Below are 26739 nucleotides of genomic sequence, written 5' to 3'. Positions count from 1 at the left end.
GAAGGTGCCTGCTTCCCCTTCTCCTTCCGCCATGATTGTAAGTTTGATGAAGCCTCCCTAGCCATGTGGAACTGTGAGTCAATTAAACATTTTTTGTTTATAAATTTCCTAGTTTCAGGTAACATTATAGCAGTGTGAAATGGACTAATACAGATAATTGGTACCAGAAGTTGGATACTGCTATAAAGATAACCTAAAAATGTGGATGTGAGTTTGGAACTGGGTAACACAGAGTGGTTGAAACACTTTGGAGGGCTCAGAAGAAGACAGGAAGATGTGGGAAAGTTTGGAACTTCCTAGAGACTTGTTGAATGGTATTGACTAAAATGCTGACAGTGATATGGACAATGAATTCCAGGGTGAAGTGGTCTCAGATGGAGGTAAGGAACTTATTGGGAGCTGGGGTAAAGGCCACTCATGCTATGCTTTAGCGAAAAGACTGGTGGCATTTTGCCCCTGCCCTAGGGCTCTGTGGAACCTTGAATTTGAGAGAGATGATTTAGAGTATCTGGTGGAAGATCTTTCTAAGCAGCAAAGCATTCAAGAGGTAACCTGGCTTATTCTGAAAGCATTCAGTTATATGCATTCATAAAGACATGGTTTGAAATTGGAATTTATGTTTAAAAGGGAAGTAGAGCATAAGGGTTTGGAAAATTTGCAGGCTGATTATGTGGTGGAAAAGAAAAACCCATTTTCTGAGGAGGATTTCAAGCTGGCTACAGAAATTTGTATAAGTAATGAGGAGCTGACTATTAAAAGCCAAGACAATGGGGAAATGTCTGTGGAGCATGTCAAACACCTTCATGGCAGCCCCTCCCATCACACGTATGGAGGCCTGGGAGAGAAAAATGGCTTCATGGGTCAGGCCCAGGGCCCTGCTGCTCTGTGCAGCTTTGGGACTTGGAGCCCTGTGTCCCAGCCACTCCAGCTCCAGCCATGGCTAAAATGAGCCAAGATGCAGCTTGGGCTGTGGCTTCAGAGGGTGCAAGCCCCAAACCTTGGCAGCTTCCAGGTGGTGTTGGGCCTGTGGGTGCACAGAAGATAATAGTTGAGCTTTGGAAGCCTCCGCCTAGATTTCAGAGGATGTATGGAAACACCTGGATGTCCAGGCAGTTTTCTGCTGAAGGGGCGGAACCCTCATGGAGAACCTCTACTAGGGCAATTCAGAGGGGAAATGTGGGGTTGGAGCTCCCACACAGAGTGGCCACTGAGGTGCTGCCTAGTGGATCTCTGAGAAGAAGGCTGCCATCCTTCAGACCCCTGAATGGTAAGTCCACCAACAGCTTGCACTGTGCACATGGAAAAGTCATAGGACTCAACACCAGCTCTTGAAAGCAGCCGCAGGAGTCATACCTTGCAGAGCTACAAGAGCAGAGCTGCCCAAGGCTTTGGGAGCCCACCCCTTGCATCAGTGTGCCCTGGGTGTGAGGCATGGAGTCCAAGGAGATTGTTTTGGAGCTTTAAGATTTCATGAATGCCCTGCCAAGTTTCAGGCTTGCATAGGGCTTGTAATCCCTCTGCTATGGCCAACTTATCTCATTTAGAAGGGGAAAATTTACCCAATGCCTGTACCCCTATTGTATCTTGGAAGTAACTAACTTGTTTTTGATTTTACAGGCTCATAGGCAGAAGGGATTTGCCTCGTCTCAAATGAAACTCTGGACTTGAACTTTTGGGTTAATTCTGGAATGAGTGAAGACTTTGGAGGACTGTTGGGAAGGCATGATTGTGTTTTGAAATGTGAAAACGACATGTGTCTTGGGAGGGGCCAGAGGCTGAATGATATGGTTTGGTTCTGTGTCCCCACCCAAATCTCGTGTGGAATTTTAATTCCCACATGTCAAGGGAGGGACCTGGTAGGAGATGATTGGATCATGGGGTTGGTTTCCCCCATGCTGTTCTCATGATAGTGAGGGGGTTCTCATGAGACATGATGGTTTTAAAAATGACAGTTTTCCTTGCACACTCTGTCTCCTGCCACCTTGTGAAGAAGGTGCCTGCTTCCCCTTTGCCTTCCACCATGATTATAAGTTTGCTGAGACCTCCCCGGCCATGCAGAACTGTGAGTCAACTAAACCTCTTTTGTTTATAAATTACCCAGTCCCAGGTAGTATCTTTATAGCAGTGTGAAAGTGGACTAATATACTACCAAGACAAATAAGTGATGCTCACTCATTTGTGCATGCTGCTTCTTAGGTAATTAGATACAAAATCAGCTACAGCTCTCCATGACAGGGAGTTGAACCTGGCATCAGAGTGCCCACCAGCACCCTTGTTGCAATTAAGAATTAGCAGTGTCCAGGCCAGGTGGACAGAGGAAGCGGGGTCGCCGCTGCCTCCCTACCCACCTGCTTGTGCGTTGGGGTTGTGGTGGGCCAAGATGGTGGGCTTCTTGGAGGAGCAGCTTGGTTAGAAGCTGGTGATGAGCAGCAGCAAGGATGACCAGTGGCAGTGGTAGGACTTCATGTGGGACATGACTTGGCTGGCGCTGCCCTACAAGGAGAAGCACAGAAACTTTGGAACAAATACCAAATTTCCAATATTCCATTGCTAATATTCGTAGATGCCACCACTGCAAAGGTTGTGGGCAAGAATGGGCTGCTGGTGATCTGAGATGACCCAGAAGGTATGGAATTCCCTTGGGGACCTAACCTTTTCAGGTTTATGAAATGACTCACAGTTCTTGGAGAGCAGCATCCCAGAAAGGCCTTACATAGGACCCTATTTCTCTGCACATGGGTGTTCATCCTGCCAAAGCCTCACCCAGGTCCTGGTGGAATCTTATTAGAAGATCAAGGAGGCAGGCCAGAACTTTGAGATTATCTTAGTCAGTGAAGACAGATCAGAGAGTCCTTCAAACAGTACTTCAGTGATAGGTTCTGGCTCACTAACCCCCATACTGAAAAGGCCTGGAAGTCGCACCCCATCTGGCTGTATAGAATCCAAGGCATTCCCCATGCTCATTGTGCTGGGCCCACAGGGTGAGGTGATCATGTGGCGGGGTGAGTGGAGGTGCTTAACGACGAGGACTGCTGGGAGTTCCCGTGGCACCCAAGCCCGTGCTGAAGCTCTCTGACTCCAACACTTTGCAGCTCAACTGGCCCCTGCCTCCTCCTTTTTGTAGACTCTGAGGATGACAGAGAGTCCCAGGAAGCCAAGCAGCTGATTCAGCCAATAGCTGAGAAAATCATTGCCAAGTGCAAAGCCAAAGAGGAGGAGCATCACTTCCATTTTTTGTATCTGGGGAGGATGATATGATAGACTTCCTGCAAGGTTACACCAACCTGCCTGAGGCTGCCCCTTTGCTCACTATCCTGGACATGTCATCACTGATGGAGTATGTGATGGACGTGGAAGAAGATCACCCCTGCCATTGTGGAGGCCTTTGTGAATAACTTCCTGGCAGAAAAGCTCAATCCAGAGCCCATCTAATGGAGCTCCGGCCTTCTGAGATGTTGTTTAGAATTCAGTCTTCTCCTCCCCTTTCTTCCCTCCACCCTTCGACTTATCCAGTGTGTCCTGAATCACACAACCCAAGTGTCCAACCTCTCTGTGGTGCCTTGCTTCTGCATTCACTACCCAGCTAGCATCCTGGGGTGAGTGTCCTCTCAGTAGCAGCAGAATCCACCATGTTTGGAGACTCTGCTTGGGATCACGAGATGGCATAGCCTAGCCAGAACAAGGACTGCATCACTTTCGCAAAGTCACCAGCTTTTGGTGAAAGATTTGCCAGGGCGTTCTTCCACAGAGTGAGCGTGAAGGACCAATGGATCAGGGCTCTTGCTCTGACTCTGGTATCAGCACGCACATACAGAGACCCTGACAGCCAGAGGAACTGCCTGGTGACAGCTACATGGAGGCGAAGCAGAGAAAGAGTCTTGATAGACCTCGGCTTAGAGCTGTTGGTGAGAAAGTCCTTTTCTAAGTGACATAGTTTCTTTTAGTCAGAGGGAAAAACAGCAGCTTATCAATGAGTTCTTGGACAAGAGTTTCTCAAATGTAAAAGGAAGCTTGTGGGGATTTTCAGGGTGAGAAAAACCATTTAGTGAAGGTACTAGTTCATATAATAATGGCTTACTGTTACTGAGCTCGCACCTCGTGATGAGAGCTTCTCATTCCTGTCTTATCTCTCTTTCTTCCTTGATCTTGACCTTCCCCAAGTTTCTGCCTGCTTATATGAACAGCTCCCACGATCTTGAAATTTTGTTAGCAAATTCTTCCCTTTGGATATCTATTCCCAAGAAACTCAGCCCTGAGGTTTTAGAGGAGCACCTCCTAGCCAGCACAGACCTCTCACTCCATCCAGCTCTGTGCCTGAGGCCGCTGGACCTCTGCCAAGGTGCCTGCACCCACTTTGGTTACCCTATGGTCATTCCCTTTTCTTTTCAAAGCAGAACTAAAAGGACAAGGAATTACCAGAAGCCTCACATTTTCTGCAGAAGGAACTGTATCCTAGGGTGGGAGTGAGGGCAGGGGGTGTGCCAGCCACGAGTAGGCATTGGATTCCCTTTGCCAGGCCCAGGCAGATCAACCTCTTATTTTGGTGAAAGATCTGCCAGGCAGTTCCTCTGGCTGTCAGGGTCTCTGTATGTGCGTGCTGATGCCAGAGTTAGAGAAAGAGCCCTGATCCATTGGCCCTTCATGCTCACTCTGCGGAAGAACGCCCTGGCAGGTCTTTCACCGAAAGCTAAAATAATAGTTCACCAAAAGAGAAGCAACAACTATGCTCTTAGGATTTGGGGTGGAGGGCTTTGGCCTAGGGACTCATAGGGCTTTGGCCTCACTTAATCAGGTGTCAAGGTCTTTAAACAATCCTGGAGATTACCCTCAACTCCACTCAGCACTCTGCCCATCCAAATCATTTATTTGGAAAACCCAGCCCCTCACAAGCTGTTGACATTGTTATACCCTGCCACATCGGATTATTGGTTTGTAGTTCAGAGGCACAAAATGAGTTGGTAATTAGATTGTTATTTGATGTTATCAGCCTGAAATGCAATCACCTAACAGGAAATAAAGCAGGCATCTTTGGACATTATCAACCAAAAGAAAAAAAAAAAGAGAGAATTAGTAGTGTCCAAGCTAAAGAGAACTTTCATTAACATTTAAGTAAAGGCTGAAGTACTAGGTTGGCTGTCAAAATTCAGAGGACAAGAGGAGAAAAACCCTCAGGGGTTTCCTAATTGGGGGTAAAGGAGGGTGTGCACAAGACTAGAGGCCTTCAAGGGTCTTTGGGTAAATAAGGGATCAAGAGAGAAAGAAATCTGGAAACTAGGAAGCAACTCAGGATCTTCCCTTTTGAGTCTGTCTTTTTGAAGGCTTAAGTGTGTAAGACTTTTTTCCTTGTATGGTGCTAGATAGCAATCTATAAAAATACAACCTCCATTCATCCTCAATGTGCTGGTTTTGAGATCTAGCTGTTATTTCAATGAAGGGACTTTATCATGTCCAGGGGTAGGGAAACTGGCAGGATAAGAAGTTTGAGATGAAAGGCATGTGACCATCTCCCTACATCACTGCAGCCATCCCTCTCCCAGACCCTTGAGTAGTGAGGATAGAGGTGACAGGATAGGCTCAGGATAGAGATGACAGGATGAACAAACCAGTGACAACAGATCATGGTCTTTCTGGAGAGGCAGTAGGATCCATTTCCTTTTTTTCTGATTGCCTGCTCCAAAAAATACCTTAGAGAAAAAGGGAAGCTGTATCACTTTGCCACCCCTGGGTAGTAGGGGAAAATTACTGTAAACTGATCATTTGAGAAATGCCAAAAATAAGTGAACATCGTCACAAAAATCACAAGCTTCCAACACAGCCTTTAGATGATTTTTTTATGGCAATTAAATATTTTGGGTTGGGCACAGTGGTGGCTCATGCCTGCAATCCCAGCACTTTGGGAGGCTGAAGTGGGAGAATTGCCTGAGCCCAGGAGTTGAAGACCAGCCTGGGTAACATGGGGAAACCCCATCTCTACAGAAAATTAATAAATTTTCTCCACATGGTGGCGTGTGCCTGTGTTCCCAGCTACTTGGGAGGCTGAGGCAGGAGGATTGCTTGAATCCAGGAGGTTGGGGCTGCAGTGAGTCATGCTCTCACCACTGCACTCCAGCCTAGGCAACAGAGTGAGACCTTGTCTCAAAAAAAAAAAAAAAAGTTAGAAAAAATAAATAATAAATAAATAAGTAAACATTTTGTATTAACATCATGCTGACCTTTTTCTCATTATTGATTATTTAGCTCCTTTTCCTTGAAAAACTATTTTGGTGAATTCTGTCATTCATATAAAAAAATTCTGAATGCTTAGTAGTAAGTAGTGCATGACTTTATTTTTTAATTTTCCCAGGAGTACATTTGGAATCACAGTATTTCAAGCTAGAAGAGAGGTTGGAGGTTGTATAGTGATAGCAAAGCCTTTTATATGAGGTAACAGAGGCCCTGAAAGTCAAGGATATTATCCAAGGAAATGCTGAGTCACACTTTCTTTTCAGACAATGACTTTCTGATCTGTGTGTTCATTTCCCATTTAAGAATAAATCTCTCATAAAAGGAGTAATATAATCAACTTGGGTTTCGAATCAATGAAACCACTAATATTCTTATATATTATTCCAAGTAGAAACATTTAATGTAATCATACTTGCTGTTGTGAAAACAAACTCTATTTCATTGTTTGTGTAACTTAAATTTCCTACATGACCCATCAAAAATGAATTAATTGGATTTGGCATGTGAAGCTTAGGAAGGATTTTAGAAAAGCTTTCTTATTATTCCCTGCTCATTTTCCACCTAAGAGTTTTTTTCTCAAACAGATGTACACATTTCACATGCAAACCACATGTAAATACATTTAATAGAATTCAGAGCAAGTTTAAAAACATTTCAAAGTGTTTCAAAGCAGACTCACTCCTAGTCTATATCAAATATCACCAATAATTCAATAACCCAGGAAAAGAAATGCCACCAAAAATCTGCAAATTGGAAGGAAAAAAGATGCCGACAAAAGTCATTGTTTTGGAAGCTCATAGTACCAGAAGAAAGCTGAGCAATTGGTTTAGCCCATCCTCTTGTCTTTAGGCAAAAGTGCCCTAAATAGTCTGTACAAAATGGTCAACGTTTTCCCAGGTAACCTACTTCAATGAACAGTATTTGACACCAATGACAGAGAAGAAACCTTTTTAAATACTCACTATAGCGCATATACTTGACACATTTACATTTCTGAACGAGTTTCTAAATGATACCTGCAAACTATATGTAAGAGAAACAGCAAGACAAGATCATCAACAAAAATACTAAAATGCAGCCATCGTCAAGTTGAAAATAATGTGTGCCATTCAGCTTAGGGTATGCTCAGAACAGCAGCTCAGCTGTGGAAATAGTCACAGTTGCAAATGACTTGATGGACGCAGAAATCATTTAGGACCATTAATAATATTTGAAACATTTAGGTCAACATTTCTCAAAAGTCATTAAAGCAAAGTTCTCAAAAACTAATACTTCTGTCAATCATGGTTATTATTTAACATATTATTCTGATTACTTATGTCTTCATTCTAACAAACTTGTTTTCAAATATGTTGAAAGCATGTCTAAAGTATAGTTCGTGTTGAATTGCTTTAGTACTCTTAATACATCTCTAAACCATTATATTATTTGCAAATAGATGCACTGTATTTGAATGAGAATTGTTATATAGATGTGTATGCTGGTGAACAGGGAAGGTATTAAAAACACTACAGAAGAATGTGGTAGGTTGCTTTTTAGAAATATTTTAGTAAATTTTTCAGAAAAAAGTATATAATTTAACTATTGAGCTAATTCGATTTCCTCTGTATTTTCTTAAACTCACTTGTTTTCATATTAATTTTTAAAAACAAATTTTATGTATTTTGTGATTTTATGTATTTTGATTCTGTGAGATCAAAGTATATTTGTAAGAGCTTGATTCTTGTGCCTGATCCTTCATGATAAATATAATCACTAGGAAGATAAGAGAGAGGAAAAAATGAGAACAGTAAATGCAGGCATTTTAAATTTATTAATGTTAACTTCAAATCCATGCTAAGGCTGAACATGTGTAATAAGAAATGAGAATAGTTGCAAGTATCAATTAAGTTGCAATTCTAAATTTCAAAAACTGAATTTGAATCATGCTGATCAACAGAATTAATGAAGGGCATGGGTGTGTGAACCAATTTGGCTTCAAGAAAAAGACTATATTTGCTTGGTGTTCTGATTTAAACTGTCTATTTCCTTTATATTTAACAACTATTAACAAGTTTATATGTTATCTGACAGAGTAACAGACTTACAAATGGAATATTATTACTTCAAGCAAGAGAAATTTGTTAGTGTGATACAATCATTTGATGAATTGAGGATGTATCAAAAACATAATTGCTCTGTTGTAACATTCATTTCCCTCAATTACACATTGGTGTGTCTTAATGGTAATGACAGATATAAAATTATGTCTGTTCACCACTTAAAACTAAGTTTTTATTGCTTCTTTGCTAAGCTTTTAATAGAGCCAAACACACTAATACATTGTGGGTGGCTCAGCTTAAGAGTGATCTCACAGTATATTTGTGTTAAACCCAGAGAAATATTGCAGTGTTAATCAACTCATAAAGATGATAACTAATTTACGTTGTAGAAATCTAAGGTGTAACCCCAATTATACTTTGTTTTCCTAATTTTTTCAGAGCTAGAACTATCAGGCAACATATAAATTTATCTCCTAGATTCCTGAACTAAGCTTTCCAGGGAGCTTTCTCAGCATCTGCCTCCATGCCCTCCCTGTTCATCCTTCGTTACTCTCTCAGGAATCCCTAGTCCATTTAGGGACATGATAACTAAGGAGAGAAAGCTAAGGATACCAAACTAGCTCAACATAAATTAAAGGTATAAACTATTACCTAAAGTGAAACTTTCTAGAGGCTGCAAAAAAAAAAAAAAAATCCACTGTCTTTACTGTATTAGATACATGAGGTCCTTAAATTAATTTGGGAGTGTTTGTATCAGATAAATTAGCTAACCTCCAACTTGCTCATTTATGTGGTGTTTCTTAAGACGGTGCAGCTTAAATGGAATGCTAGTTGTGCTTTAGTCTTTTCTTTCTCACATAGCATTAGGGAGAAAACTGTTTCAATATTTCCCTCCTTTTGCCTTGCTAAGAAAGCGTTGTCCATATGAAAATAGCTTTTTCTACATAGAAGCAAGAATATTAATTTTAAACATTTACAACTATTAAGGTTTAGAGATACGATTGCTTTTCAAAGGAGGAAAGAACACAAATATGTATTTTGGACTTGGTGTGATCTAATGATAGGTGATCTGCACATACTGTCGCATCTGATTCTTGTGACAATTCTCTGAGGCTGGCATTGTTATTATACTTACCTTTTACAAATGAGTAAACTGAAGATAGTAGAGTAGCCAATTGTCAGAGCAAATGCTGGCCTGTCTTTCAAGCCCAGTATTTTCCACCAACGTTAATGTTTCAGGTTTCTACATGAAGGTTCCTTTTCTTTCAATTCAGTCAGTAATTTCATCGCTTTTTGGAATTATTTCATTTTACAGTGATTTTTTTCTATACTCAGACTAAGTTTACAAAAGTGTTTTACATATTCATTTATTTATTCAAAAAGTATTTATTACATCATATCTATTTATTATATCTCGGATATGCCAGGCACTGTGTTAAATGTTAAGGAATTCAAGGAAATAGCCTCTTTTCTACCTGTAAGTTGCCTGTATTCTGGTAAAGAAGCCAAACATGTCCCCGGATCACTGCCGTGAGACTCCGTGAGGGCGGCCGAGCGCCTGTGTAGGAAGCTAGCTCTGGCGGAACAGTGTTTCAAGTATGTCCCTATTGGATTACTGATTCTGGGAAATTCTAACCCAGCTCCTGTGCATACTCCTAAACCTCAGACTTCTGCTCTTTCCCTCATAACCCATTTTCTGCTCTACAAACTGTTAGCTTCCTTTGCCAAGGAAAGGACAGTGGTCTAGACGTCAAGGAGCCAACATTGTGGTTAGAAATCAATCTCTGTTTCCCTGGCTTTGAATTACTATATGACTTCAGGCTTCCCATTTAACCTTTGCTGGCCGTGGTTATTTATTTGCACAATACAGGTAATAGCTACCTTATGAGTTGCTGTAGGGCTTCATTAGTTAATGTTTACAACATCTTTGAAAATATAGCATGAAAGCTACTAAGTAAGCGCAAATTATTATTATTATTATTAACATTATAATCATCATCAATCTATTTCGTATATAGCCAAAGGCTGTCTGCAAGAAGTGAATCATGATGGTTCTCTACAAGCCTGGCTCCATCTTCCAGGCTTGATTGCTAGATCCAAAGGCCCGAACCCAATGACAGGCATAGCAATTTAAATAAGTTATTTCTGTGCGTGTAAAAAGACAAATCATCTCACATTCCCACTTCTTGACTCTGTTGCTAGTTGCTCAACCTTCCTCCTGATCGTCATATAATCATCTCTGTGTATATAAAACATGTAGAAACTCTCCTAGCCAACTGACAATTATCTGGATCCCCTAGACAGCCCTGACATCTTATTCCTCTATTGTGTAAAGCAGGAAACTGAGACCACAGAAAGTGAGTCATAGATTTGAGTTCAAAGTTTGAATGAGCCCACTCTTTGTTTAGCAGTTGAGACTGCGCCTATATGCACAAGCATATTTGGAAAGAGAAACTTTACATTAAGCCACATAAATATCATTTTGATTATAGTTATTTAATAGCTGATTACTAAATAATTATTCAGCCTATTTAAATTTGCTGTTTCTAAGAGTGCTGATAATGACAAAAAGGCAGTTATTTTAAATAGGGAAAAATTCATTTTTAATAATGGATTTCTCTCTGCCTAAAAAAAGTCTCTTTTGCCCTTGTTTCCTGGTCTACTCTGACATATTTTTCATAACCCACATAAAACTTTTGCTCATTTTGGAAACTTCTGTAACTCCCTTTAGACTGTGGTGAATTTCCCTCCCTTGAATGTGTGATGCCTGATTATATGATTTATTTGGTAATTATTTATTTCTCTTTGGCATATCCCATTGTTTTCATTTGCAACTTTTCAAATATCTACACAGTATCTTCTTTTTACAATTAAATTACACAGCCTTTTGTGGGTAACACAGAAGGAGTGTTCATCTTTATAATCCCTGAGATGCTTAGGTTAGATTATTGGAAGTGGGATTCAATAAACATTTGTTTCTTCTTTTTTGTTCAAATATATTTGGGAGACCATTTTATATTGCCATTGAATATGATGGAAAGCTGCTACACCCTTTCCCTCTGATCCTGGGCACATAGGTAGACTACACTTCCCAGCCTCTCTTGCAGTTGAAGTGGGCCACGTGATTGAGTTTGGTCAATGTGAATGGTAGACATCATGCATGCCACTGCCTGAACTGGCCTATTAAAATATTCAGCACAATCCTCCCTGCCTGCACATGCTCTTTACTCACTAACAAGCTGAATGGAGAGAAAACCAAAACCCGAAACAAAACCCAAGGACTTAGAGAAAGGCAAAGTCACAGATAGAAAGATCCCAAGTCCATATGCCACCACTTGGAGAAGAGCTTTCCAAGAGAATTAAGTCACCAGGAAAATCCATGGACGTCTGTTGGGTGAGTAAGAAATAAGAAATAAAATAAATCACTGAAATTTGGGGATTGTTACAGAAGCATAAATTGACTTATAAAACATCTCACAATCATCTTATCCTTAATATATTCAAAATAGAATTCTTATTTCCTTTCTTCTGTATTCCTCAAATCCAGTGCTTCAGCAAGTCTTATCCAAACTCCCTTCAAAATGTATCTCAGTACCCATCAAATCATTCAATTTCTCTCTCTTTTTCTGCATCGTCAGCATGAGTTTGCTCCTGGGCTCTGTGATAGCCTTTAAACTGCTCCTGCTGCTTCCATTCTTACCCTTCTCTCTTCAATTTACCCTCTACACATCAACCAAAACCATTTTGAAAAAACACTACTTAAACCACACCATTCCCTTATTTTAAATCCTTCAATAGCTTATCATTGCATCAAGAACAAAATCCATACTCCTAACCTTGGCCTGCAAGATCCTGCACACTCTGGCCCCAGCCTAGCTCACCACCTTATCTCAGGCTCCTTTTCCAAAAGCCTGCAAAGTCTAGTCACTTGGAATTCTTTTAGCTTCTCTCACAATCTAAAATTTTATCTCCTCCAGGATGTTCACCTTGAAGGTTGTTCTCCTTTCTCTTCACATGGCCAGCTCCTGGCTACCTTTCATATCACTGATTAGACATCCCTTCTTCAGAGAAGTTCTCTCAGATCACCATATTTAAGAAAACTATCTACCTTTTTTTATCCTTTATTGCAATATCTTGATCTTTTCCATATTAGCAATTACCAGAATTTTAAATTATACTTTTATGCAGCAGATATGAACTTCAGGTCACATGTTGAGAAGTGTACATGTAGTCCTATTTCACATAAAAGGATGAAACTTCCTTTTCTGTACTATTTCAAGACCTCATTCCATTTGTTTATTGATTAGGACATAGGTTTCAGATGCTGTAACAACAAATAAAATGAAACAGTAGCTAAAATATCTTTGTTAAATGTACTGCATCTTCTATATTAAAAGTGTATTTCTTTCTCCCTTAACTGTCAGAGGGTAAGCAGTCCATGGCTGATAAAGGCAGTTTTGAAGTGTCAAGGAAGCAGGCTCTTTTTATGTGGTCAGTCTGTCATTCTTAACATGAAGCTTCCATACCTCGGTATAAGATGCAAGATTCACTGTAATTTAGTGTGGTGGTTAAGAGCAGTGCACGGTTGAGGTAAACAGCTGGGTCGAAAGCAGCTCTTAGATGTCAATTATCATGGCCAGTGAATGCCCTTATATAAACAAGGTCGTTAATTGTTTCTAAAGGAGGTAAGATTGTGAGAAGACATGCATCCTCTTTTGATAAAAGACATGGAAAAGGATGAAAAAATGAAGAGGCTAAGTATACAGCATTGTTTGAAAACCCAGTCTTTGTTTTATCCTTCTTGATTTGGATATATAGTAAACATATTTCAAATGCTCATAAAAAGTAAATGGTTACAAAAGAAATTAAGTTAGATGTGGTTTACTTTAAAGAAAATCTCAGGAAGTAATGTAGAGGAGGGTATACTTTCAAACTCATTTTATAAGTCTAGCAGTACTCTGATAGAAAAGCCAGACAAGGCCATTACTAGAAAAGAAAATTACAGGAGAGTATCTCTCATGAACATACATGTAGAAATCTTCAAGAAAATACTAGCAAACTGTATTGAATAGCACATTAAAAGGATCACGTATCATAATCAAGTGGGATTTATCCCACGGATGCAAGGACGGATCAATATACACAAATTAGTAAATGTGATACACCACATTAACAGAATGAAAGACAAACACTTGATGATCATCTCAACAGACACAGAAAATGCATTTGACAAAACTCAACATTGTTTCATGATAAAAGCTCTCAACAAATTAGGTATGGAAGGAATGTACCTCAATGCAATAATGGCCGTATATAACAAACGCACAGCTAACCTCATACTCAATGGGGAAAAGTTGAAAGGTTTTCTTCAACATCAGGAACAAGATAGGGATGCCCACTCTCACCACTTCTATTTAACATACTATTGGAAGTCCTAGCCAGAGCAATTAGGCAAGAGAAAGAAATAGAAGACATCTGAATTGAAAAGAAAAAAGCTAAATTGTCTGTGTTTACAGGTAACATGATTTTATATATAGAAAATCCTAAAGATGCCATCAGAAAGCCATTAAAACTAATAAAGTTTTAGACTACCAAATTGACATACAAAAATTAGTAGTATTTCCATACATAAAAATGAACTATCCAAAAAAATCAAGAAAACAATCCATTAACAAAAGTTACAAAAAATAATAAAATCTTAGCAATAAATTTCACCAAGGAGATGAAGGATTTGTACACTGAAAATTATAAAACAAAATAAATGAAGAATAAAAATGGAAGAAAATATAAATAAACAGGAAAATATCCCACATTCATGAATTGGAAGAATTAATATTGTTAAAATGCCCATACTATCCAAAACAATGTACAAAATTAAGGCAATTCTTATCAAAATTTGAATGATATTTTTCACAGAAATAGAAAAAAAAAACTAACATTCTAACGGAACCATAAAAAATACCTGAATAGCCAAAGTAATATTGAGCAAAAAGAACAAAGCTGGAGGCATCACACAACCTCACTTCAAAATATACTGCAAGGTTATTGTAATCAACACAGCATTGAACTGGCATAAAAATAGGCACATACACAAATGAAAGAAAAAAGAGAGCCAAGAAGTAAATTTATGAATTTGTAGTCAGTTAATTCTTGACAAGGTGCCAAGAATACACAATGGGGAAAGGGCAGTCTCCTCAATAAATGGTATTGGAGAAACTGGAGATCCACATGTAAAAGAATGAAATCGGATCCTTATCTCACACCATATACAAAAATTAACTCAAAATTGATTAAGACTTAAATATAAGACCCGAACCTGTAGAACTAGTAAAAGAAAACATAGGAGAAAAGCTCAATGACATTCATCTGGGCAATGTTTTGGATATGACCCCAAATGCACAGGAAACAAAAGTGGAAATAGACAAATGGGATTACCTCAAACTGAAAAGCTTCTGTACAATAAAAAATCAACAGAGTGAAGAGATAATCTACAGAATGGGAGAAAATATTTGCAATCCCTACATGTGATGAGGGGTTAATATCCAAAATATATAAGAAACTCCTACAACTCAATAGCAAGAAATTACATCACCTAATTTACAAATAAGGAGAGGATCTAAATAGACATTATTCCAACAAAGACACACAAATACTGAAGAGGTTCATGAAAAAATGCTCAATATTACTAATCATCAGAGAAATGCAAATTAAAACTATAAATCATAATAAGATATCACTTCACATTTGTTAGAATGGCTACTATGCAATGGACGATAATAAATGGTGAGGATGTGGAGAAATGGAAACCTTCACACACTGTTGGAGAAAATGCAAATTAATATAGCTATTATGGAAAACAGTATGGAGGTTCTTAAAAAAAATAAAAATAGAACTACCATATGATGTAGCAATCCCACTACTGGGTATACAGTTAAAGAAAATTAAATCAGGACATCTAAAAGATAACTACTTTCTCATATTCATTGCAGCATTATTCACAATAGCCACAATATGGAATGAACCTAAGTGTTCATCAGTGGATAAATGGATAAAGAAAATGTGGTATATATACACACAATGGAATACTATTTAGCCTTAACAAAGAAAGTAAATCTTGTCATTTGTGAAAACAAAGTTAAACCTGGAAGGCATTATGTTAAGTGAAATAAACCAGGCACAAAAGACAGAAAACACACACCACATGATCTCAGTTATATGCAGAATCTAAATAAGTCAACTGTGTAGAAGCAGAGAGTAGAATGTGGTTACCAGAGGCTGAAGTGAGAGTAAAGGAATGCTGATGAAGAGAGGTGGGGAACTAGAAATATGATGGTCAAAGGAGGCAAAATTTCAGTTAGCTTCAAGAGATTCATTGTACAACATGGTGACTATAGTTAATAAGAATGTATTGTATTCTTGAAAATCACTGAGGAAGTAGATTTTAATTATTCTCACTGCAAAAAAATGGGAAATATGTGAAGTAATGCATATGTTAATGAGGTTGATTTAGCCATTCCACAGTTTATAGATATTTCAAAACATCATGTTGCACCTGATAAATATATACTTTTTAAATTTGCCAATTCAAAAGAAATTGATTAAAGAAACAGGAAGTGATGAGAAAATTCAGAATAGATGTGGAATATGGAAAGAATCATTTGACAGAAGGAATAATTCTGAGCAATAAACAATAACTTATGATTACCTGGAAGCAAAGAATAACCTGGAAATAGAATTGGGCCTATGGCATCAACAATTCATCTGTGAAAGGAAAGACAAAAATTGTGACTGAAAGTCAGGTTGTTTTTGTTTGTTTGTTCGTTTGTTTGTTTTGAGACATAGTCTCACTCTGTTGCCCAGGCTGTAGGCACGATCTTGGCTTACTGCAACTTCTGCCTCCCAGGTTCAAGCAATTCTCCTGCCTCAGTCTCCCGAGTAGAGTAGCTAGGATTACAGGTGCCTACAACCACATCTGGCTAATTTTCGTATTTTTAGTAGAGACGGGGTTTCGCCATGTTGGCCAGACTGGTCTCGAGCTCCCTACCTCAGTGATCCACCCTCCTCGCCCTCCCAAAGTGCTGGGATTACAGGCGTGAGCCACCATGCCCGGCTGAAAGTCAGGTTTTATGTGTCTGGTGAGGAGACTAGCATCAAAGTCAGAAATAAAATGTTAATTGAAAAAAAGTTTGAATTTGAGAATTGTAAGAAATCAGCTCGTGGGGACTGGTGGCTGGACAAGGAGCATGCACACTGGTCAGTTGTCTAACATCCAATGCTTCAGAGTTGTTACATGTTTCAGATGCCTCTTGAGACCACAAGCCACAGCTGTGCAAGGTACAGAATGAACTTGCGGAGTTTTATTAAACCTTTGGGGAAATCAAAGGGGAAATCAAAGAGGAAATCATCTGCCTCAGTAATTTCCAAAGGAGATGAAGGGTCTACTTTAGAAAAAGTTAGCCAGTAGGCAATATGTGAGCAAGGAAGAAAGTATAGTAGGTTAAAAAGCTTTAATGTGCTGATATTCCAATTGAAGAGTGTAAAGCAATCATAATCCTTTCAGACATATGGACAAGAGGAGCCTCTCTTGTTGGATAAAAAGGCTTCTTTGATTGGGTATGACTGGAACATTGGGCATTTGTTGGTGAACACAGAGGGTGGTGGCTAAGAATTAGTAATGGAGCAGGATTAGAAGGAACCACAACATTTTTACTAAATCTCAGTGTGGCAGTTTGTGTGAATGGAATATCCACTAGATATCTATTATAATGTCTCGGTTTCTTTTCTAAGTTTCTTCCATTATTCCCATGTTTCATCTTTTTTTTTTTTTTTTAGAAATAAAACTTTTTTTTCAGAGGAAGAGTGCCATTTTCTTGTCAATAAAAAGAAAACTCTTCTTGAAACTCCCTAATATATTATCATTTAAAGTGAAATATAGAATAAGATGTTAACTATCTATTCTTTTTTAATTTATAAAGATCAAATTGCCAATTAAAAGTTCCTAAGCATTCAAACCTTAAATGTAAGCATTATTAGTTTATTAATAAAATTAATAGAATAGAGTTAATCTCCTAGTAGTTATCTGATCTCAGTTATTCATTACCTTCTACCACAAAAGGCTAAATACAGAATCTCCCTACTTTTATAGAAAAAAAATGATAAATGTTTCAGACCTCACATGAAGAACAGTTTTTGCTCTGGTTTTTAGGTATATTCCCACATTTAATGATAAAAACAGAAAGTGATTTAAGAACATTTTTCATGTGTGTCCAAAATGGAAGACAAAACATCCTCTTTATAAACGAGCCAGCAGTTATTGATGTCTGAAATGACCAGTTAATTCATGTAGATGTGTACAGGGGCTTTCACGTGTACATACACACAAACATATACTCAGTGAACATTCCAAAAGTTCAATATTGTTTTTATATGTGCAGTTTTATAAATGCAGTGTATTCTCACAGTAAGAGCTGCTTTTCCCATGGCTTCTGCATCCAAATTGGATCAATTCATCCATTTGATTCTTCCCAAAGGAGACAAAATGACCAAACAATACAGGTGCATATAATCATGTGTATTCTCTAGCAATGTGTGGAAAACAGGAGAAAACTCTGAAGTATTTATTACGTCAGCATTTTCCCAATACTGCAAATGCAATTCACAAAGTGGGAAATATCTAGGAGGGATTGGATATGTTTAAAGAAAATCCAGAGAGAGTTATTTCTTATTGGTGATTATCAGTTATCTTTCTCTGTTGAAAACTCAGATTATTTTTTAATACCCACTAAATTTACACATTTTGACTCTGAATTTAGTTGCTACTTTCAAAACAATTACTTTTGTAGGGGAGACAAAAATGTTCAACTTTCTGATCCCCTTTGCCACCCCACCCCACTCAGCTGTCATCACCACTGATAAATGAAGCTAGAAAGTGCAGATGTTTTAAAAGTGTCCCATCTTTTGACAAAGTAAAGTAAAATATTACATGATTATGTATCACAAAAGAGATTTTGTTTGTAATTACACAGCTCAAAGATAAGATGGTTTGTTCTGTTTTTGCTCCAAGTCTCTTATCTATATTGACATCCAATGTACAACTAAGAGAGTGAAAAGAACAAGCACCTTCCCAGGAGGATTTTTCTGAGAAGTTTTAATCAAAGATACAAAGGATAAAAGCAGATGCCAGATTCAAAAGAAATAAATAAGGGAGAGATGGCAGAATGTTCCGCAAACAAAATTGAGAACTGTAGTTATCTGAAGGCTACAATAAACTGGGTATAAAGGCAAAAATTAGCCCGCATTGTTCAAGGGAGAAAATAAATGCTTTGCAAACAGGCGGCATTCATTCAGTTATTCAGGAAGCTCGATGTCTGATTGGAGATTGTTTAGGTATTAGGCCACTTTTCCTTGAAATGATTCTAGCAGCTTTCAAGATGTGAGAGGAGATGATATATTATTTCTGTGTAGAGGCAACCTCTGATTTATTAGGAAGAGTATAGGTTGGGAAATTGACCACCCATGTTTTCTTCTCTATCTTCTTTTCCAGATGTATTTTGTGTTTATACTCTGTTGCTCTAGTGAATCACTATAATTTTGTGAATATTTACCCACGTAATAACATACAATGTTTATAAAATTTTTTTCCTTTAGAAAACTTAAAGCACCTTAGAGACCTTAAATGATAAATTTGCATCAAAATCTAATTAGGAAAGAAAGGTCTTTGCTAATCAATAATAACTTATTGAATTCTTTCTAGAAAAGCATTTTATTTTTTACTGAGTCTTACCTGCTTATTAGTATAGAACATTTTAATTTTATTCTATAAGTCAGAAAGTTAAAGAGTCACAGATATATTGAATGAGTTCAAGTAAGGCCAAGAGAGATCTGAAGTTTGGTCAGTTCGATTTTTGGCTACTCTTCAATGTAGCTGAAACCACAGTTATCACTGATACATTTGGTTGCATAATTCATTCTACTGAAGAATGTTTGTTTCTCCCATGCCACACAAGTAGAACTGGCTGGACTTTCCCAGACATGAGGGTGCTAAGGAGGTAATGTAGGCAGGGTCAAGGTCTAGGATAACATATTTCTACCAGGAAATGTGTCACAAGAACAAAGCTGGAAGCCTTATGAACTGCTCCTCAGAATTACTCTTCTTAAATTACAATTGGTATACTATTTTATTAAATATGTACCTGAGAGAAAGATATATACTGCTGATCTATATCTTCCTTTCATCATTCATACATAATTCATACATTCTACACTCATCTACATGAAAAAAAGTGGGTTTCTTATTTAGGTAAAAATGGATACTATCCCTAATATTACAGAAAGAACTCTTTTGAATTCTGGTGCCTAGAAATTGGAAAATACCTAAGCTTTAAATTTCTCATACATCTAGAACATTCTGGTAGAAGAGAAGTGGTCTGTATCATGTTAAACTCTTTTTCAACTTAGCTGACATCATTGGGTACTGTTTGATTTGCATATTCAACATATATTGGGAAGTTATTGAGCTAAATGAGGCAAGGAGGAAAGTTTGGGGTAAAATATGCCTTCCCTTGAGCAATATATGAACAAGTGTATTCTTGTAAGATTTGTTAACATAGGATACATTCTTTAGTATATTTGTAACTCACCTAAGGATCCTAACATTCAAGATGTCACTAAGTTATAAATATTTTCATGGCACATAAATAGACACATTTACAGTGTGTTATTTTATGTTTTCAGTAGATTTTTAATAAATGGCTGTGTGGGGATAGCTGTGGTTTAAAATGATAAATTAGGATTAAATAGAGAGTAACTCTCTGTCCCTCCCATCCCAATAAACCTGACTATATCTTGCTACACAGGTTGGTCTGCAAGTTTCATTTGAATGACAATTTATCTGTGTCTTAGTGAGACTCATTGCTTTAGATTCTAAACTTCAAGAGTGTCTGAGACATGTTGAAGCTTCTGTTACATCCCTAATACTTGCCTACGTGCCTGTCACATGGAAAGCTCCCAATAAATATTTATGGAAAAAAGAGAAGAGGGGAGAAAGTATGAAGAAGGAAGGAAGAAAGGGAAGGGGGAAGGTAGCAGGGAAGGAGGGAAGGATGGAAGTAAAGAAGGGAGGGAGGGAGGGAGGGAGGGAGGAAGGAAGGAAAAAAGGAGAGAAGAAAGGAGGGAGGGATTCTGTGTCATATGCACCAAACTGGGCACTGTTTGTGGCTCAAATAGTCATAGATCTCTTCCTGTGTTGTTGGTTTCTTGATTCTGTTATTAAGGTGACTAGAATGAACAATCTCTTACTAGGAACTCAGTCATCATTTTAAAGACTGGGTTCCAACAAATATCTATCTGTCTGGTTTAGTGTTGCATGCTTCATAAAAATTTTGGTGTTCAGAGCAATTGAATATTTTTGTTTTGCTATAGACCATTTTATTTTAATACTTTTTCTTAAAAAGGAATATATACTTTTTGTCTACTAAACACTACGTAACACTGAGTACCTTACATGTTCAGAGTAGCTTTATGTTTAAATCCTGGATTCAGTGAGAACAGTGCTTGCGTCATGTTGCCATGACACACATGTGCATAAAGGCAGTCCTGCTGACTAGAAGGATTTATGGGAAAGAATCTCATTGTGAAAAAAGTTAGAATAGTAGAAGGAGAGGGAATGTAAGATGTGCTGCTCTTCTTCTCTACTCTCTTGCTGCCACCACTGTAGGGTCCCGTCTTCTTATTCCCACCCCAGGAAGCTACTTACAGTTCTGTCAGCATAAAGGGTTAGATGAAAACTTGTGTCACTGTGAGTTATGCATTACTTGAGCACAGATACAGTAAGCACCCGCTGGACTCTTACTCACTGTGGGAGTTTGAATTGGTGCAGGCCACGTTCATGGTGTGCCAGGGAAGATCAGGTGGCTGACTGCTGAGTGGCTTCTTCAGGTGGCATTACTATTAGTGAATCTTTGTCAAGCAACTGGTCCTCAAATTTTCAATTTCAGAAGAGTGATCTCAAGAGATTTTCAGTTTAGTGGACTTAGGGACATTGACACATGCTAGCAAAACTTACGAGAGGATACTATATAAAACATTATCAATTATTAAACACAGTGAACAATGTGACTCCCACATGGCCAAAGGACCCTAATATGTAATATTATACTATGACATAATAGCACATTTTTTCTTTGCAGCCAGACCACATAGAAAGTCAAACTGCAATCAGAACTGTGCTTGAGTAACATGAACTAAGAAAAGGGGAAGTAGTGATATAATTTCAGGGGTTAAGACCACCCAACTAATTGTATCAGGCCTACCTATTTCCATAACATGAATGAATGAACAGATAGGAACACTACATAGATATATGTAGATACACACATATGTATTATACATACATATATAAAATACATATATAACACATATGTATTATATATACATATATATTATATACACACCTGTATAAACACATGTATGTATATGTAGACATAAATAGAAATAGAGATGATAGAGATAGGCAGATATAGATATAGGTAGATGTAGATAGATATAGATATAAATACAGATCTCTCCATACTATCAGAAGGAATCTATGGGTGAAGTAACCCTCCACTGAGTAGATATTTGAAAAATACTGGCAATCAGTAGCATACTTACACCTGGTTAAAGGGATTGGCTTTTGCCCTGGGTCTCACTCTTGAATGTCTTATTTATACTTGTAAAACCAGGAGCCTGTGAGGCCACCTGGAGCTTGGCTCCCTCACATTCCAGACAATGCTCTATGTATTAAAAACTCTAAAATTTCCTGCGTAATTGGTCCTGAGCCTACTTGGATCTGCAAGGGCCTCTTGCTCAGGTCTATCCTCCTTGAGATGGTTTTTGTCAACTTTACACCTACTACTAGATCAAAAGTTGGTCAGGAAGGGAACAGAGCCTAGAAATGTGGACTCGGGGATACACATGGATATATGTGAGGCCCCTCTTGATGCAGCTGGAGCAACTGTGGGAAGAAAAGGGGTTGTGCGTTGAGCCATGAGTTCAGGACTAGGAAGGCAGGAGCTGGGTATCTTATGCTGCCATGATCTGGCACAAAGCTTCCAGGAGTCCTAGAAGTCCCAACATTTTAAATTCATATCTGTCCTTTTGGGTCCTTATGAAGGTATATTTTGTGAAGTAGAAGGTAGAAGATATTTTATTACAAGCGTGTTAACTTATTTATCTGGCACAGGGTCCTGCAGATGTCATCTTAAGCCCTTTTGAACCTTACCCCCTTCTTTCCTTAGTAAGCACATCAAAACTTTTATTCTTTGATCATATCTAACTATTAAACTATTCTTGTCTGTTTTAGTTCCTGCTTTACCCCAGTTCCTAGAGTAGTATCTGACACCTAATAGAGGCTCAGTAAATATCTATCAATATCAAATTGGGACTGTGATGATTTACCATTGAAACTCTTGCACAATTGCCCTTGTTTGGTGAGAGGAATGAGCAGAAGCACTGTCTTGATGGAGAAGGACTCTCGGGAGAAACTTTCCTGGGCATTCTTCTGCTAAAGCTTTGACCAGCTTTTTCGAAACACTATCATAATAAGCATGTGTGATTGTTCTTTGGCCCTCCCAAAAGTCTAGAAGCAAAATGCTTTGAACATCCCCAAAAAACCGTTGCCATGAACTTTGCTCTTCACCGATCCACTCATGCTTTGACTGGACCGCTTCCACCTCTTAGTAGCCATTGCTTTGGTGATGCTTTCTCTTCAAGATTTTACTGGTAAAGCCATGTTTTAGCTCCTGTTGCAATATTTTGGAGAAATGCATCAGGATCTTGATCTCACTTACTTAAAATTTCCATTGAAATGCTCTTGTCTGCAGCTGATGTGGATGCAATGGTTTGGGCACCCATCAGGTGGAAAATTTGCTTAACTTTCATTTTTCAGTTGAAATTGTGTAAGCCTAACTAATCGAGATATCTATGGTGTCAGCTATTGTTTGTGCTGTTAATCCTCATTTCTCTTCAATCAGGGCAAGAACAAGATTAATTTTTTTCCATGCAAATTGGATGGTCTTCTGCTGAGGGCTTCATCTTCAACATCATCTCATCCCTTCTTAAATTGCTGATTATTTGCAAACTGATGATTATTTGGAGCATTTTCCCCATAAATTTGTTGTAAAACATCAATAATTTCATCATTTTCTCATTCCAGCTTCACCATAAATTTGATGAATTCATGTCGCTCTTACAAGGGATCTTTTCAAACTAATGTCTTATCCTTCCTCACGCCTCAAACTAGACTCTGCTCAGATATGTTATAACAAATCAATATGAGTTTATTTGGGTGTAAAAAAAGTTTTGAAGTCTATGCATAGTTTTTTTCTTTTTGTTTGTTTTGTTTTGTTTTGCTTGTACTGATTTATTTTTTATTTGGGCTCATCTTTACAGAGCACACACATAGTTTTTCATAATATGCATTTTTCTATGAACTTCTTAAAGACCCTTCCTATCATTTCAAGGAGACTTGATTATTATAATTGAGTTATCAGATTCAACTTATATAGTGACAAACTACTCATGATCTTTGCATTTTACAAGTAAATGTTAGATCAAGATGCTATCTTGATCTGTTCCCTGGTTAGTTAGCAATTGTTTTCTTGGGCAGTTTCTTGTTTGTTTTATTGAGGAAGGAGAGATGTTTTCCCTCAAGTTTGATGAATTTGAAAGAGATCCCATGAATAATAACAGACTCTAGATAGAGACTGAGGAAAGGAGTCTCCACTCATCTCACCCAAATAAAGTGTATGAAACCTTGTAAGATCAGAGTCTGTGAATTTCCAGATGGTTCTTGCCATGGCTTCCTGTAAAAACTGATGGACAGGCAAACACTAAAATGCTGTACTGAAAGAACTATGCCACATCTGGCAATATGAATGAATAGTAGTGTATAACCAGATCGTGGATGTAGACAGAGAGATATAATTCACCAGGAATTGAGAAACTGAATATGTACATCACCTATCTAAGGCCAGTTATGTACCAGGGAGATTATCTGGACAAATTAGCCTCTTTTAATTACAGAATAATATTTACTTCTCTTTCTATTGTAAGTCATTTTCTGTCTCCTTTAGATGTTATTTAGAGTTGGAGTAGGAAAGGGGATTGTAGGTGAAAAGGAGCCAGAGTTATGGCCTTCTTCTGTTTAACTTCTTGCCACCTTCCTTAAATACTTTTTATGTGAAATAGTGAGTTTCAACTTATTTTAGACTTTGTCAATGGTTGTATTCCAAATGTTCTTTTATCTTTTAAAATGTTACTCTGATATTAAACATGTTCCAGATGAATCTGACAAATTCTAAATAGTACGTGATACTTAATTCATAGTGTGGAAGCAAAATAAAATTTGTTCTTTAATTAAACTTGGTTAAAGAGCTAGAGTCAGACATTCACTCAAATATGGACAATCTTTTAAGAATCATGGTTGTCAGAATAATGAATAACTGTGAGATTCATCCTTACTGTGTATGAAACAATAGTTCATTCATTCTCATTCAATTATGTGAATATACCACGATTTATTTATCCATTCTACTGTTGATGGACATTTGGATATTTTCAATGTAGGGCCATTATGAATAGTGGCACTATGAACATTCTTAAGCTTACCTTTTAGTGGACTTCAGTACATATTTAGGTTTGGCATATACCTAGGAAAGGGTGAGATGTCTGGGTCTTAGGTTTAATTTATGTTCATCTTTAGTAGATAATAAATAATTTTCCAAAACTTTTGTAATAATATTACTCCCACAAAGAGTATGCGACAATAAAAGAATCTAGGCATAAATGAGTACATTATATTGTATGATTTCATTTTATATAAAGTTTGAATCCAGGGAAAACTAATTGATGGTGAAATAATTCAGAAGAGTGGTTACTTTCAGGGATATACTGACTGAGAGGCGTCCTGGGAGGAATTTCTAGATGCTATTAACTATCGGTTTCTTGGTAGTTACAAGAGGGAGTTCATACTTTTGATCTTTTGTCAAGCTGTACACTTATGATTTGTGAAAAATTCTGTATGCATGTTATACATCAATAAAAACTTATTTAAAAATGTTTTTTACTAAAAGAACTGCTTTGCTGGGGAAAGGAAACTCATCCTCATTGGAGTTATTTTAAGCATAGGATAGACAAGCAGTTGGTAGGAAACTTAAACATTTTGCAGAAAATTGGATGAAATAATTTTTGATCCTCTTTTTACCCTTAGATTGTCATTTTCTGATGCTAGGCTAAAGTTTCATATTATTTTCAATTAATCATTCTTCAAAACCATCCACAATTCTGACCAATTTCATCTAAAGGCAAACAGTGTTCCAGGAGCTGAACTTTCAGCTTTTTTGTTTTTGTTGTTCTAATTGATACACAGTGTCCTTAGGTTTTATGGAATTTCACTTGAGTTTTTTTGGTACATCTGCTGTGGGTCTTCTGTCAGAGTGTTCTCAGCAGCAGAACAACTACAGCACTGTTCACACTTCATGTGCATGCTCCTTCCCCTCATTTTCCAAGTGGTGCCAACTTTTCAATGTGTTGGGGCTGCTGTTGACATGTTATTTGCTATTTCAGTCCTTTTGGGTCTTGTGCATGTGAAGGGCATACTAATTGCAATAAAAAACAAATGAAAAGCAAAATAGGAAAGTAGATGGAGTACAAATGTAGGTCGAAAAAAAAATATTTCCTAGATAATGAAGCTAGAAGTAATTGGATGGAGGAAGCCAGGTAGAGAATTCAAAGCACTATGCAATAGAAGGACCCTAAAGTGAGAACAAATTGTCACGGATGATGGTTCTCAAGAGGTCTTGGGAAACTACAAACATGGAGCACCACTAATTTTAAAGTCTTCATTAGAAGATACTAAGAAAAACTAAAATGTAAATAGTCTTTAGCAAAAACAAAGCAACACAAAGAGTCCAGGAGAATTCCTGAAGATTGAACCAGATGAAAAGCCAATGTACACTTTTACATGCAATTTGAGGCTGGTGATATCACTTTAAAAGATAGCATGCATTTCATCGGCTGTCAGTGAATACCTGGAACACAGATTTTGTTTACAAATACTGTTGATTAATTCTGTCTTTGTCTTCTATGAGGCCTTTCTATATCCATGCAGTTGTCCATCCTTTTTTCTTACATGGATTTCTGTCGTTTGCAACAAAAAAGTGCTAGCATTCAAATTGGCAATTGTTGTAAAACAAAACAAGGCAAACCAAAACACCTTAGAAAAAAATATAGAACTGACTCATGAGTGCTGGAAGCAGAGAGTATTTGACCATTCCAGAATGAAAGGTTGTAACTTGTGGATAACAATTACTTAGTTTCTCTCTTTGCATTAGAAATTGTGCCATTTGCGTCTGAAAGTTTAAGAATTTGGTAGTACGTTGTTAGATTATTAGAAATCACTGAGTATTTCTGGTGACCTCCATTGACATATTTC

At 37.7% G+C, this 26739-nt stretch overlaps 1 pseudogene; it reads left to right on the top strand.

The window, feature by feature from the left end:
* The window catches only part of NXNP1 (nucleoredoxin pseudogene 1), a 38790-nt pseudogene continuing 14530 nt past the window's right edge, over positions 2480–26739 (top strand).

The sequence above is a fragment of the Homo sapiens genome, chromosome 1 (genome assembly GCF_000001405.40).
Source record: "Homo sapiens chromosome 1, GRCh38.p14 Primary Assembly".
NCBI classification, from domain to species: domain Eukaryota; kingdom Metazoa; phylum Chordata; class Mammalia; order Primates; family Hominidae; genus Homo; species Homo sapiens.
This window is presented reverse-complemented; position numbering and strand designations above follow the sequence as displayed.